This window comes from Homo sapiens, chromosome 15 (assembly GCF_000001405.40).
Source record: "Homo sapiens chromosome 15, GRCh38.p14 Primary Assembly".
In the NCBI taxonomy this organism is placed as follows: Eukaryota; Metazoa; Chordata; class Mammalia; order Primates; family Hominidae; genus Homo; species Homo sapiens.
Window position 1 is genome coordinate 67,504,649 of NC_000015.10, and position 16,325 is coordinate 67,520,973.

Here is a 16,325-nt window from a genome sequence, read left to right on the forward strand (position 1 = left end):
TAAACTGCTGGTTTCTGGGGTATTTATGTAAATGAGGGAAAGACAACAAAACAGTAAATAATAAGCATGTCCCTGCTGTTTAAAAATCTGTTGGTGAAAACAACTTTTGTTATAAGAAGACCCTAAATATAGCACAGAAAAATATAGCTTTGCCATTAACATTTTGTTTCACTTTTACAATTGTCACCATATACATGTGCATCACCACACATGCACACACATACACACACACACACAGGCAGAAAGGAGAGAGAGAAGTGAGCAAAATGCTACATTTTAAGATTTTTTTATTTAACAAACTGTTATAAAGTATACCAGATGGCTAATTATAGCTCCCAGAAACAAAAGGCCACACCCAAGTTTACTGCAATCGCCTCATAAGGAATGTTAGGATGAAATCATGGTCCCATAAACTCGACAGCAAAACCGCAGACCCTCCATTGGTTGCGAAATAAACTCCAAATCAAAATTAAAATTTTGATTCATTTAAAGATTCATGCCACTTTGTTTCCCAGGAGAGGACACAAAATACTTTGCGATCATTGAAAAACTCAAAATGATTTAGGAACATGCTCTTTGTTTCCAGATTCCCTTTCCACGCTTTTCATTTTCTTGGGCTTTATTTTTCCAAGTTGAATATCTATAAACACATTGCTAAGCCAAAAAATTAGATCGTTTGCAACAATAGTGAAGAATCTAAAGGTCTAAATGTTCAATAATAGGGTATTGTTTTAAAAATATGAAATATCTACATTAAAGACTTCTATACAGCCATTCAAAAATCATGTTTCTACACCAACCATACAACCCAGCCATTCCACTCCTAGGTATTTGCCCAAGAGAAAAGAAAGCATATGTCCATACAAAGACTTGTACAGGAATGACCAAAGCAACTTGGTTTACAATACCCCAAGGCTGGAAACAACCCAAATGTCCATCAGCAGATGAGTGAATTAAAAAATACTGGGATATCCATAAAATGGAACACCATTGAGCAATGAAAAGAAATAAACTATTAATAAATCAACAGCATAGAAGAATCTCTATGTTGAATGAAAAAAATCAGACAAAAAACGTACATACCTATTTAACATTCTAGAACATAAAAACTATAGTTAAGTAGTAACCTGAGGATGGGAGATGGGGTGGGAATAGGGTGAGGAGGAGGAGGAGGAAGAAGATTACAAAGAGGCAGAAGGAAAATGCTGGGTGATGGGTATTTTCACTATACTGACATACAAATGATTTATTGGATATATATAGATGTCAAAACTTATCTTGTACACGTTAAATACTGTCAAAGATAAATAAGACTGGACACTAGTAAAAGTGGTAAGGACAGATTTTAATCAGTAATACACTATTGCAATAGGGAAAAGGGTCCAGTGTAAACTGAATTCAACTTCAATTTCTAGAGAGGTGACTGGGCATTGTAAGGGGAGAATGAGGGAATAGAAGAGGGGACAGTGGCTGCTCGGTAGAGTAGGGAAGTGAGAAATAAAAACCAGGAAGCAGGGTTGGTTCATGTGAAACTCATCTGGTTTTGCTAACTGACACAGAAGTTAGGCTCCTATCCTCCCACAGAGACTGGGAGACGGGGGCCCTAATTTAGGATTGGCTACAAGAAAGTATTCTTTTTGCAGCCTGGAGTTTTCTCAGGCAGGTATTTTAAGAGGGTGCTAGGGTCATCTTAGGCTTGCAGCCTTGAGCTATTAGAAACTATGTTAATGTTTGTTCAAGTCTTCATAGGCCAAGGTTAAGGCCTGGTCAAGAAGAGGGCTGGGAGGAGCCTGGCTGGAGTTTAGTCAAGGAGAGAATCTTTGTCAATATGTGCAGTTTATGAATGTCAATAATACCTCAAAAAGCTGTTTTTTAAAAATCGTGTATTAGGAGAATATGTTATAAGTGAAATTATATTCATTAAAATAAAATGTTATTACTAAATAAACATATTTTAAAATGTTTTCAATAGCATGAAAACTATTGTTTTTATTCTAAGCGTAATGCCCTTTGTCTAAATACTCTAGAATTCACATCCAGACCATGTCTTTGTTGCCATACCTAATCAACTCTGTGCCATACCACAGAGAATGCATAAAAGGGCAAATGCCTCCACTCACCTGCAAATATTTGGAAGGACAGAGTAGTGATTATGTGGCATCTGTAGGTATTCTAAATGGGTATGGAATATGTATGACATCTATTTCAGATTTAAATGTCTTAATGGGTTTTAGTTTCAGCTCTTTCCTTAATAAACAAATAATTTCTCTTCCTTAGTTCTCAGGTTTCTGATACATAAAATAGGAAAGAGGAACTGATATTTAAGCTTCCTTCCAGCTCTGATGTTCTACAATTCTATGCCACCGTCATCGATGTATATAAAAGAGACAGAATTGCTGTTGTTGTTGCTGTTGTTTAATTTCTTATTTTTTTAAGATGGAGTCTCACTCTATCACCCAGGCTGGAGTGCAGTGGCGTGAGCTCAGCTCACTGCAACCTCTGACTCCTGGGTTCATGTGATTCTTCTGCCTCAGCTTCCTGAGTAGCTGGGACTACAGGCGCCCACCACCACACCCAGCTAATTTTTCTATTTTTAGTAGAGATGGGGTTTCACCATGTTGGCCAGGCTGGTCTCAAACTCCTGAACTCAGGCGATCCACCCGCCTCGGCCTCCCAAAGTGCTGGGATCACAGGCAGGAGCCACCGCGCCCAGCCAAAATTTTATATATCATGCAAGGAGGTGGTTTCTTCTTCCAGCTTTCTTCCATTTATTGGAAACAATGGATGAAAATATTTTGAAAATACTTTGCCCCTTAAACGCCCCCATCTACTATCCAAAAGGCCTATGATTTTAAATGGTTGCAAAATATTGCATCATTTTAGAATAGTTCATTGCAACACATTTTTCTTATGGAAGGGAGCCATATGAAGCCAAGTATAACACGTCCTTTACACTGGGATCATGTCCTTCATTTTTTGGGTTTCATTCTTGGCACTGAGCTCTCAGTTATTGTTAATCAACAAAACTGATGGAAACACCTTATTTTGAAAGCATTTTTATTTGAACTGATGTCATGTATACCTTCTGCACTAGAAGATCTTGATGGAAAAAGATGAAATAGAAATGAGAATAAGAGGCTGGGCACAGTGGCTCACGCCTGCAATCCCAGCACCTTGGGAGGCCAAGGCGGGTGGATCACAAAGTCAGGAGTTCAAGACCAGCCTGGCCAACATGGTGAAACCCCGTCTCTACTAAAAATTCAAAAATTAGCTGGGCGTGGTGGCGGTCACCTGTAGCCCCAGCTACTCGGGAGGCTGTGGCAAGAGAATCGCTTGAACCCAGGAGGCAGAGGTTGCAGTGAGCCGAGACTGTGCCACTGCACTCCAGTCTGGGTGATAGAGCAAGACTCCATCTCAAAAAAAAAAAAAAAATTAAAAAAAGAAATGAGAATAAGAAACTTTAACTGGGCATTTTTGTCCCTGTACAAACCAGAGCATCTCTGGGTAGCTGCAGTGCTGTCTCTGAGCTTTAATATTTGCCTGTACCCAAAAAAAGATGGAAGATGCATTTCCTAATATTCCATCTTGCAATATAATCCCTGGTGAACTGCATACATTAGATATAATAAAATGGTGAAACTATTTCTACCTGACACCTTTAATCCCATCTTCTAAAGACATCCTAAAATGCCACCATGTTTCCTGGGCACCATCAACCAGCCGGCAGGCACAGCCTTTTTAGGAAGTATTCTGACATTCATGCAGCAAGGTCTGGACAAGGAGCTGAAAGCAAGATGATTCTATATCCCTCTACAAAGACCACACTTGTTATTATGACCAAAACTTATGTGTAAACACTTCTTTGAACTTCATCGCCAAGGCAGAAACCTCTCTGCTGCTTTTATTCTCACTACGGCTCATAAGATCTTGGCACTAACACATGAAAACAAAAACTTATAGATGACATAAGCTTTCAAAAATACTCATAAACATTCTTCTTAAGATGACTTTGTCTTTCAGGATGCCTGTAGAGTTTTTTATTTTTCTAATTATGGAAACGTACCCTCATTCCAGAAAACAAATAGTGTAACATAGCTTCTTCAAAAACATATAAAAAATAAAAAATTTAAAAAAAACTTTGTAAAACAGGAAAGCATAAGAAAAAAAAATTAAATCAATTTTTATTCCACCACCTGGAGATAACCACTGTCAAGGTTTTGGAGTGTATCTGCCATGATTCCTGCCTAGGTCCTCTGTGTTTGCCATTCCCTCTCCCTGGGACACTCTTCCCTCCGCAGCTTGCCTGGCTCACTCACTTGCTGCATTCTGGTCTCTGCCCAGCTCTCACCAGACCAGAGGGGCCTCCCTGACCACCCTCATAAAGTAGTAGCACCATTACTCTCTATTCTCTTACTCTGCTTTATTTTTCTTCAAAGCCAATTAACAATGTGTGGTATTATGTAATATCACATAATAGATATGTTACTTAATTATCTGTCTCACTCAACGGATTGTAAATGTAAAGATATATGTATGTTGGCCAGGTACAGTGGCTCACGCCTGTAATCCCGGCACTTTGGGAGGCCGAGGCAGGTGGATCACCTGAGGTCAGGAGTTCCAGACCAGCCTGGCCAACATGGAGAAACCCCATCTCTGCTAAAAATACAAAATTAGCTGGGTGTGGTGGTGCATGCCTGTAATCCCAGTTACTAGGGAGGCTGAGGCAGGAGGATCACTTGAATCTGGGAGGCAGAGGTTGCAGTGAGCCAAGATCACGCCACTGCACTCCAGCCTGGGAGACAGTGAGACTCCATCTCAAAAGAAAAAAACAAGTATGTATATAAACAAATGTACATATATAAACACACATATATACACGTACATATCTCCTAGAACATTCTCTCTCAGTAGTAACAGTTGCTTGCTTAATATATATTGCATTTATTCTTTTATCATTTTGAGTTTCTATTATATAGATTCTTTTTTCTTTGCATATATAAACTTAGAAATAGGATCATCCCAGACATATTGTACAGACTGTGTTTTTTACTTAGCAGTAAATTATCAAGATACACTGGAAATTCTTACCCAGTGAGATTTTAATAATGGCATAAAGGATGTTAAAAATTCCCTATTGTTAGACCGGTACATGGGCATTTTGATACATCCACCAGATATATATCATGTTAGCATCAACCAGTTAAGAAAGTTAATATTAATAACACATATTCATATGGTACTTTATAAAGTATTTTCATATCTTGTTTGATCCTACAATAAACTCAAGTAAACAGAGCAGAAACTCAGGTTAAATAATTTCCTTGAAATAATATAACTAGTGGTAGGGAGTCCAGACTCAAAGGTAGGTCTACCTGTCTCTTCACCATACCTCATAGTCCCTGGTTGAAGCCTTCATTTTATAGATAAGTGATCCATGCTTAGAGAAGGGGGAAGTGATGTGACCACAGTCACATGGCTTCTTCAAGAAAGAACAGAGATAAGAACCCAAGACTCCTGACTCCCTGTCCATAGCTCTTGCAACTACTCCGTCTCTCCACTGCATGCTGGCTCAATAAATTAGAATGAAATTCGTAACTTGCTGCACAGTTAAAATGGCGACCGATGCATGCTGTTATCCTTCTCTGAAGATTACTCAGTATATTTGCTTGGTGCTGCAAAGTGCCAACCTGATGACACTTGCAATCCTGAGCTTATTTGATGTGGTTGGGAAGCAAATGAGATTCCAGTGCCCCTGTTGCACATAGGTGCTCAATGAGCATTTCCTGCATGGTGGGGAAGTGCCCTATATTTGCAGTATTTGATCCAGTTTAACAGCAAGATCCCGTGATAAAATTAGCCTTGTAAAAGTTTTCACCCTAGTTCACACAAAAATAAGATTCTGTGATTATGACTAGCAATTTTTCATGAGTTGATTTATCTGAAGAAAACCTAAAAGGTTTTGAACCATTAAGCATTCGATTTAGGAAAAAACAAAAACAAAAAAAACTTCGTGTACAGAAGAATAAACTGAGAAATGAAACAGACTTGTTTCTTGTAATAATTATGAGCAATATCTGAAACTCAGCATCCTTAGACCATTGAGCTGTGTAGGATGAATGTGCTAATTAATCAATTACTACCCAACAATGTACCCTGTTTATTTACTGAAATGCACCAGAAACGTGCACAGAACTGGTAATTATTAATCATCTTCAGTAACAAATATGACTCAAGTTCACCTTCATATAATTAATAGAGCACGTAGTTAGCTTTAACATCTTGCTTTATTAGGAATAACGATGAGAAATAAAAAAAGAAGCTGAACCCCAAGTTGTGGTTCACGGAGATGCTGGCTTGGACTAATGTGCATATTATCCATAGCAGCAGCATTACTCATACCCACCCCAATTGCAGCCAGATGCTCTCTAAGTTAAAACCTAACTTTTAAAAACTAAACATTTTTGTTTGAATAAAATTTTAGGCTTATAGAAAAGTTGTAAAAACAGTCCAAAGAATCCACATATACGCTTTCCTCAGGTTCCCCAAATCAAACCCAAGTTTTAGAGTGTGATAATTTACTTACATTTGGGACCTTTGTTGGGGGTGTCCAAACTTATTAGCACATGGCTTTCCATTTTAAAGATAATCTAAAAGTACTTTTCAATATACATAGAAATAGTTGTTTTACATCAATTTTTAAAAGTAATCTAGTTTTGAAAGTCACTCTTTTGACCGGGTGCAGTGCCTCACGCCTGTAATCTCAGCACTTTGGGAGCCCCAGGCGGGTGGATTACCTCAGGTAAGGAGTTTGAGACCAGCCTGACCAACATGGTGAAACCCCATCTCTACTAAAAATATGTAAAAATACATAAATTAGCTGAGTGTGGTGGCACATGCCTGTAATCATCTACTCCAGAGGCTGACACAGGAGAACTGCTTGAACCTGGGAGGTGGAGGTTACAGTGAGCCGAAATTGTGCCATTGCACTCCAGCCTGGACAAGAGCGAAACTCCATCTCAAAAAAAAAAAAAAAAAAAAAAAAAAAAAAAGTCATTCTTTTTGAGTCATCATGCATGCCCCCAAATTTCCTTTCAGCCAGACAGATTTCTGGTTAAGAGGGTTGTATTTTGGGTCTAGAATGCTATTTCCTGAGTCTTTGTGTTCAAAGCATGGGTTTTTGAGTCCAGCTCTTACAGGTTCAAATCCCAGCTCCACCACCTGCCTGCTTTGTGACTGTGAATAACCACATCACCCTCTCCGACCTCTGACATTTCATTTCCTCAGCCTGAAAATGAAGAAAATGAAACTTTGCTTTGAGTGTTGTTTAAATGAGACAGTAGCTATAAAGCACCTAGAATAACATAAACACCCAGAAACTGGTAGATATCATTACATGGAGATTAATACCCTCTGTAGCTACTTTTTGCTTAAGAAACTGAAATGTGCACACACAAAGTGGTATTTCACACAATGGAAGCTGCAAAGGCAGGTTAACGTTTTTGAAAGTTTTCTCCTGAAAGAAAAAATTAGAGAAAGTCTAGTGTTATTGTGCAGTAAATTAAAAACCTCCACCATCTGAAAATACCAGTGGAACTTCACTTCAAAAACCTAAACTGACAAATCATAAATCAGCTGGTGGACTACTGTATTTCCATTATCACATGATTCAACGACTGTTTAAATGGAGGGCCCCCTTAGGGCATTTCAGTATTTGTTTATAGATCATTAACTACTTGACAGTGAGATGGGGTATGGGAGGGGGCAGAGACACTTAAACCTAAAGGGCTAAGAGCCACTGTCATTGAAGATCAGCAATGAAGCCAAAACGTTTTTAGGATTAGATGTGAAAATATTATTCATGTTACCAAAATGTCACATGCTTTTCATGAATGTATCTGTTGATAAAACAAGGCTCACTTTATGAAGATGGAATCATAACTACGACCCATGTGATAAGGTGAATTTATTTGGCTATGTTTTCAAATACTTCCACAATACTTCCCCCAACATATGAGGATTTGTGATATTGGAAACATGCCCATAAAATGGACTGTTACTATCAGCATATGTCATTATCAGGTTTTAAAAGTCACAAATATAGGCTGGGCAGGGTGGCCCACGCCCAAAATCTCAGCATCTTGGGAGGCAGGAGGATCGCTTGAGCCCAGGAGTTCAAGACTAGCATGGGCAACATATGGAAATTCCATCTCTATAAAAAATAAAAAACTTAGCTGGGTGTGGTGGCATGTGCCTGTAGTCCCATCTACTCAGGAGGCTGAGGTGGGAGGATCATCTGAGTCTAGGAGATTGAGGCTGCAGTGAGTTGAGATCGCGCCACTGAACTCCAGCCTGGGTGACAGAGCAAGACCCTAACTCGAAAAAGAAAAAAAAAAGTCATGAATATGTTTCCTTGCCTCCAGATTCCAGAGCATCAGCACTCACAGCAGGAGATGGGAGTATAACCATAATTGTTTCACTGCCTGATGTGCACAGCAAGGTAATACACCAAGACACCAGGGTGTAGCAGAGAAAGAATGAGATGGGAGGAAATCTCAAATTTGTCTCACCTAGGAGGTCGTGGCTGGGCTGGGTTTTTAAGGGTTTTAGGGCAGACCAAAGTGTGGAGAACATTGATTGGTCAAAGAGTGCAGGGCGAAGCCATGAGACAGAAAGATGAAGAAAGTGGATTCTCATGGTGATTCCGTTCCTCTGTGGAGGTTCAAACTGGTTGGTGTCAGCTGTTTCACTGGAATTTGAGATCTGAAAAACATCTTAAGCAATTCTTAAAGAAAAGCCTTACGATTCTGAAGTCAGAAATCCCATCTATGGGAACAGTGGGGATGCAAGTGGTCAGTACGTAGTGCTGTGTGACTTTCAGTCACAAGGAAGTGGGCCAAAGAGCAGCCTGATTAATGCTTAATTGTAGCTCTATTTCTGTCCAGAACTCTTGCTAAACCTAAGAGGACAGCTTCAGGAGTAGAACTGTTTCCTAACAAAAAGCACACTGAAAGCCAGGAGGACAGGATTTTTAGTCTTGATTCTGATATATGACCTTGGATACGTTTTTTACCTATTCTGTAGTTTAATTTCTCCAACGATCAAAATTAAAATTTTAGTTAAAACCACTGACCCTACATATTGTAATTTCCCTTCTCTGACATCTTTCAAATGTACTAATTGTATTCACTTTACCCACTTTCCCCCATACCCCTCATTTATTCAACAAGTAGAGTGCCTTCCATATGCCAAGTACTGTTTTAGGCGCTGGGATCACAAAAGTTAATAAAACAGACATAAATCCCTAGCCTTAGGAAGTCTACATTCCAGTGAAGACAGACACCGACAGTAGTTGAGATACAAGATGCTTTTGGATGAAGTCTGTACCCACTATGTTAACAGTGAAGTGCTTTACTAGAGTAATTCTTCTTGCCACTCTGTAACAGCAGCCCGAGCTGCCAGCCTGCTCCTTGGGGGTTTTCAGAACATCAATCAGTTCCACAGAAGGACTCAAGAAGATCTAGAAAAGAATACAGCAGCTCCTTCCTTTCCTAATGACTTCTGCCATAACTCAGTACTTCCATGAGGATAATTCTGCATAAAGCCAATGTATATTGTCTTTGCCAGGGCAACACAAGGATACAGGAGCGGAGCAGTGAGTGGCATTTGCCACTGGTGGGAGGGGGGAGAATTAATGAACATTCATCCAGCTGCAAGGGTCTCTCAAGCCATCTCTTCTGGTGCTGAGCATGGCTTAGAGGGCACTGAGCCATTAAGCAGATTTGGGTTTCTCGAAAACCCATGTCTGTGGCTCCTGTGAGTATCTGTTTTTAAGTTCTAAAGCATTCTGGAATATGAATGGGACAGCATCCTCTCCATGGTCCTTCTTTCCTGGAACCAAAGGTCCTTAGGCCTCAAAGTAGAAATTTAAAATAAAATCCTAAATGTAAACATTTCTATCTCTTTTTCATAGTTCCTTTATCTTTTACCAACATGCTGACATAGGCACCCAGTAACTGTCCTATACTTCTCCCTCTGGGAAAAGCAGTGAGTTGAATACTACATCCCCACTCTACTCTGTTTTAAATCACACTTAGAAATATATGAGTAAATCAGGATCTCACAGTAAGATCAGAAAAGCAACATGAGAATAACTATTCGGTACATGTACAGGATCAGATCTGGGTCAAGTCCACAGTGACATGTTCTCTGCACATACTTAATGAACGCTAACAATAGGATGTGTTAATATACAGTACTACCTGTAGAACTCATTTTCTGTTTCAAACTTTTTATTGAAGTGTAATATACCTATAGAAAAGTATACATATCAGCTGGGCGCCGCAACTCACGCCTGTAATCCCAACACATTGGGAGGCCGAGGTGGGAGGATCGCTTGAGCCCAGGAGTTCAAGATCAGCCTGCAAAACAAAGTGAGACCATGTCTCTACAAAAAATACAAAATACAAAAAATTAGCTGGGCATAGTGGTATGCGTCTGTAGTCCCAGCTACTTGGGAGGCTGAGCTGGGAGGAGCTCTTGAGCCTGGGAGGTAGAGGCTGCAGTGAGCCATGATCATGCCATGGCACTCCAGCCTGGGTGACACAGCAAAATCCTGCCTCAAAAGAGAAAAAGAGAAAAGAAGAGAAAAGAAAAGAAAAAGAAAGGAGGAAAGAAAGAGAAAGATACACATATCAAATGTGCACAGTTAAAATAATTTTCACAAAGTGAATACACTCATTCAACCAGGATCCAGATCAAGAAAGGATCAAGTCCTCATGTTCCTTCTAATCACGGGCTTCCCCCTAGCCCCACTCCGCTAAGGGTAACTAATCACTGTCTTGCCTTCTAACACTAACAGCATAGATGAGTTTTTGCCTGCTTTTACACCATATATAAATGAAACATAGTGAGACCCCCATCTCTACAAAAAAAATAAAAAAATAAAAATAGCTGAGCATGGTGGTGTGTGCCTGTAGTCCCAGCTACTCAGGAGTGTGAGGTAGGAGAATCTTAGAAGTTCCAGGCTGCAGTGAGCTATGATGGTGCCACTGCACGCCAGGGCGAACAGAATGAGACTCTGTCTCAAAACCATAAATAAATAAATAAATAAATAAATAAATAAATAAATAGGAAGAGACAGCAGAGCTCTCTCTCCACCATGCAAGGACAGACACAGTGAGAAAGCAGCCATGTACAAGCCAGGAAGAGAACCCTCATTAGGAACCCAATTGGCCAGCACCTTGATCTTGGACCTCCTAGCCTCCAGAACTGTGAGAAATAAATTTCTGTTAAGCTACCCAATCTGTGGTATTTTGTTATGGCAGCCCAAGCAGACAAATACCAATACAGACCTAGGTGTGTTATGCCTGGGTCATAAGGCACGCCTATATTCAGCTATTATATATATAGTACTACACTGTCAAAAATTTTTCCTAAATGGGGGCCAGCAATGTATAAGAGTTCCAATTATTCCAAACCCTAACCAACACTTAGTATTTTGTCTCTTCTACTTTAGCCATTCTAGTAGGTGTGTAATGGTATTGCATTGAGGTTTTTAATTTCTATTTCTCAGATAATTATTGAAATCAAGCACTTTTCACCTGTTTATTGGACCACTGATTATTCTCCTTTATAAAATGTCCATTAAAATATTTGTTCATTTTTCTATTGAATCGTCTTTTTCTTAATGATTTGTATGAGTGTGTTCTAGATACCCAAATGCTTTCTCAGATATATGTATTGCAAATACTTCTTCCACTCTAACAATTACCTTTTGATTCTCTTAATATGCCTTTTGATGAATAAAAAATTTTAATTTTAATATATCCCAATTTATCAATTTTATAAAATTCTTTTCTTTTTTTTTTTGAGATGGAGTTTCGCTCTTGCTGCCCAGACTGGAGTGCAATGGTGCAATCTCGGCTCACCGCAACCTCTGCCTCCTGGGTTCAAGCGATTCTCCTGCCTAAGCCTCCCGAGTAGCTGGGATTATGGGCATGTGCCACCACACCTGGCTAATCTTGTATTTTTAGTAGAGATGGGGTTTTTCCATGTTTGTCAGGCTGGTCTCAAATTCCCAACCTCAGGTGATCTGTCTGCCTCGGCCTCCCAAAGTGCTGGGATTACAGGCAAGAGCCACCACGCCCGGCCTAAAATTCATTTTTAATATGTTCTAAGCACCTACAATGTTCTACATGCCTTTAAAACAAAAACAGGAGTGCAAAGTCCCTTCTAGGAGCAGCATGAAGTATTTGTGCACATGCTAAATGCTGTACACAGTATCGGTCTTTATAATCATTTTAAGGGGTTCCTTCTAAGAGATATGCCATTTCTCTATGCTATGTGGAAAAACGTATTTAATGCTTTCTTAATTATAGGATACAATTTTTTTAAAAACATAGACTTAGTCTTTTGAGTGTCAACCTTCGCACACATCCCTAGGCCTCTTTGTTTCACAGCCATGAAGAATTGGAACTGAAAAGAAAATCAAGCATATGATCTGAGTTGCGGGTTGGTTTTTGTTGTTGTTTTGAGAAATTATCTTATTTCAATTATGGAAGTGGCACCATATAATCTTAAAGTCAGAAGAGATGTTATTTTCTCCATCTCTGTATCTTTAGGTAGGGGAATGTTTCATTCAAACACTCTTAAATATGGGGTGTGGCCCACCATTTTCGTCTCTCTTTGGGGGAACTTTCTACCTTAGAATAGAAAAGAAAGGGAGATAGTGAAAGAGCCTCAGGTTAAGAGAAACCCTCACTGCTGACGAGGTCTAGCCAAGAGAGCTGCTCCCAACAGAAGTCCTTCAGTTTGCTAGCCCTTTTCCCAAGCCTTCTTGATGTGAAAATGCAGTGAACATATGTAATATCTGGTTCTCTTTGTCAGTGGTTTTCATCTCATATGCCACAGAACCTAGGGTTTCTCAGACATACTTCAGGGGTTCTGCACATGTTCAATTCAAATGTCATGTTTTTTAAAAAAAGATTTTTATATTGCCAAAAGAGAGATAATGCCAAAATTTAACATATTGCAAACTGCCCACACATTAATTTTAGGTTAAGTCATTTCAGTGTAGATCTCATAATTAATCTCCTGCTGCCATTTTTGTAATTGAAGCACATGGCCAGATTTCAAGGTGCATAATTTAAAAATCACTCTTATTTGTATCTAATTCTCTGAAGAAATCGGAATTTTCTTGATAGTATACAACCAAAACAGAAGATGCAGAAATAAACTGGATACTGAGTCTGCTGTAACTGCAACTATGTTGAAGTTAAAATAAAGATATAGAGATTAATCTCTAAATTTAACAGCTTTCTGCGGAAAAAAATTGCAATTTGGTATATACACACAGACCAGGTGGTCTTCAATATGTCTGAAGAGCAAAGAGAAGGTTGGAGCTTTTATAAAACAGAAAAATGTTACATAGTGCTCTTTGAGAAAGTTCATTGGCACTAGTAAGGTTCTGAGGGGCTGGCAAGCTCCAATAGGTGAGGGATGGCAGTGGGAAGAATTAGTCCTAGAGTTGCAGCAAGTTATCTCAGCAGTTACAGATAAAACTGGTCTCAGGTCACAACAGGCAGTTTCAGCAGGGGGACTTGCAAAGAATCACATTTCTTTTTTTTTTTTTCTTTTTTTTTTTTGAGACGGAGTCTCGCTCTGTCGCCCAGGCTGGAGTGCAGTGGCGCGATCTCGGCTCACTGCAAGCTCCGCCTCCCGGGTTCACGCCATTCTCCTGCCTCAGCCTCCCGAGTAGCTGGGGCTACAGGCGCCCGCTACCACGCCCGGCTAATTTTTTGTATTTTTAGTAGAGACAGGGTTTCACCGTGTTAGCCAGGATGGTCTTGATCTCCTGACCTCGTGATCCGCCCGCCTCAGCCTCCCAAAGTGCTAGGATTACAGGCGTGAGTCACTGGACCCGGCCGAGAACTACATTTCTAAAGTAATGTCATATGTCCTGAGTGCTTTCTCCCCCTGGCTTTTCCACTGTTTTAGCTGGGGATAAGAACAACTCAATTCAAAGGATCCACTTTCACAACCACAACCCCCAGCTTCAACATTTTGCAAGCAACAGGATCAAGAGTCCTGTGGCAGTGGGGCCAGCAATGGCATGCTCGCCAGACTAGTTCCTGTTGGTCTTATCTATGTCTTTGCTGTTCGGACTCTCCTCGTTCCTTCCCATTTTCTGAGCCTGGTTCTCTAGACTTCTTGTTTACTATTTGGGCTACCTAATTTTCCTCCAATGAATCCCCTTTCTGCTCAAAACAAAAGAAAATCCAAGACAACAACACACTGAAGTTTCATTGTTTTGTTTTTTATCTATAAAGTTAATATAAAAAATTTGAACTTACAGTTGGACATGGTGGCTTCTGTAATCCCAACGACTCAAGAGGCTGAAGTGAGAGACTGGCTTGAGTTCTGGACCAGCTTAAGCAACATAGTGAGAACCCACGCCTAAAAAATAAGTAAAATAAAAAGTTAAAAAAAGTTTGAACTTATGCTTAGTAATAAAGCATAAGTTATTTTTGTTTTTTTTGTTTTTTTTTGAGACGGAGTCTCGCTCTGTCGCTCAGGCTGGAGTGCAGTGGCACGATCTCAGCTCACTGCAACCTCTGCCTCCTGGGTTTAAGTGATTCTCCTGCCTCAGCCTCCCGAGTAGCTGGGACTACAGGCATGTGCCACCACGCCCGGCTAATTTTTCTATTTTTAGCAGACACAGGGTTTCGCCATGTTGGCCAGGCTGGTCTCGGACTCCTGACCTCAGATGATCCACTGGCCTCGGCCTCCCAAAGTGCTGGGATTACAGGCGTGAGCCACCGTGCCCGGCCTAAAGCATAAGTTTTAACCAACTTTATATGTTGGGGACCTTCAACAGATTTCGTTTGAAAAAGGACTCCACTCTTTTTCAAAATTTAATTTGGTCAGGTGCAGAAGCTCACACCTGTAATCCCACCACTTTGGGAGGCCGAGGCGGGCGGATCACTTGAGCCCAAGTGTTCAAGACCAGCCTGGGCAACATGGCAAAATTCCACCTCTACAAAAAATACCAAAAAAAGCAGCCGAGTGTAGGTGGCACACACCTGCAGTCCCAGCTACTTGGGAGGCTGAGGGTGGGAGGATCTCTTGAGCCCAGGAGGCAGAAGTTGCAGTGAGCCGAGATCGAGCAGCTGCACTCCAGCCTAGACAACAGTGAGATCCTTTCTAAAAAAAAGAAAAGAAAAAGAAATTCTATAAAGTTCAAGTTCTATAAGGTAAAGTTCAACTTCAAATTCTGTAAGGTAAAGTTCAAGATTCGGCATATGTTGGTGGGTGCTCAATGTTCAATAAAAACTGGGGAATAGGCCTGGTGCAGTGGCTCACGCCTGTAATCCCAGCACTTTGGGAGGCCGAGGCAGGTGGATCACGAGGTCATGAGTTTGAGACCAGCCTGGCCAACATGGTGAAACCCCGTCTCTATTAAAAATACAAAAATTAGCCAGGCGTGGTGGTGCACGCCTGTAATCCCAGCCACTCGGGAGGCTGAGGCAGGAAAATCACTTGAACCTGGGAGGCAGAGGTTGCAGTGAGCTGAGATTGCACCACTGCACTCCAGCCTGGGCAACAGAGTGAGACTCCGTCTCAAAAAAACAAAACAAAACAAAACAAAAAACTGGGGAATATAAAATTTCGCCATACTATCCTACATCCCCCTTGAGTTTTTAGCAACGATAGTAATTGTTATATGATGCTTAACGCGTAATTACTGTACCTCATTTACATAAGGTGGTTTCAGACACATCATCTTGTTTATGTATGGCCTCTCCAAACAAAATGAGTTTAGGACAAAAGAGGAAATCCTTTTCTAAAAGCAGTTTTGTCCGTAAGTTACTGCCTCAAGAGGCCGCAAAGTTTGAGCAAAGCTTTTCCGAAAGTAATGGATTGGTAATGGGTGACTGAGGTCCACAAAGCTCGATAAGAGGCTCCTGGTCCGTCTACCAGGTTCTTAGAGGGAGGTGCCTTTGTGTGTTCGGACGCTGCACTGAGACACGTGAGGTTTTTAAATAAACTTTTGATTTTGAAATCTCTGGGACTAATTTTAAACAGTGAACCCGACAGCGAGGACCTACACACAAAAGTGCTCCCGGCCTTACCAAACAACGCAGACCCGGGGTCACGCCTCGTCCTGTTTCAACAACAACACCCAAGGGCTTCCCTGGAGCCCAGGGCGTGGGAGGGAGACTTGGGTTTGAGTTCTGCACCTTGCGGAGGTGGTTAGTTATTTAATTGTCTTCCACCTGAATTTTCCTCAGGCCCAAATTGATGAGACCTCCCCGAATCCCTCCCCT

The 16,325-nt window shown here is 40.6% G+C and overlaps 1 long non-coding RNA gene across 5 annotated transcripts in view, besides 1 other annotated feature; it reads right to left on the reverse strand.

Moving 5' to 3' along the window:
• The window catches only part of IQCH-AS1 (IQCH antisense RNA 1), a 118,234-nt gene that overhangs the window by 101,038 nt on the left and 871 nt on the right, over positions 1–16,325 (reverse strand). For 2 of the 5 annotated variants that reach the window (NR_040051.1, NR_040052.1), the window contains exon 2: positions 14,352–14,454. This is a non-coding gene — a long non-coding RNA (IQCH antisense RNA 1). Of the gene's footprint in view, positions 1–10,271; positions 10,613–14,351; positions 14,455–16,130 lie in introns of those variants that run through there. The other 3 variants (NR_040055.1, NR_040054.1, NR_040056.1) reach the window with 3 other exon arrangements.
• Positions 16,070–16,149: an enhancer, noted in NCBI's record as "active region_9629". NCBI's record gives its function as "activates an Ori minimal core promoter by ATAC-STARR-seq in GM12878 lymphoblastoid cells {active_cell/tissue: GM12878}" and the evidence as "EXISTENCE:reporter gene assay evidence [ECO:0000049][PMID:35858748]".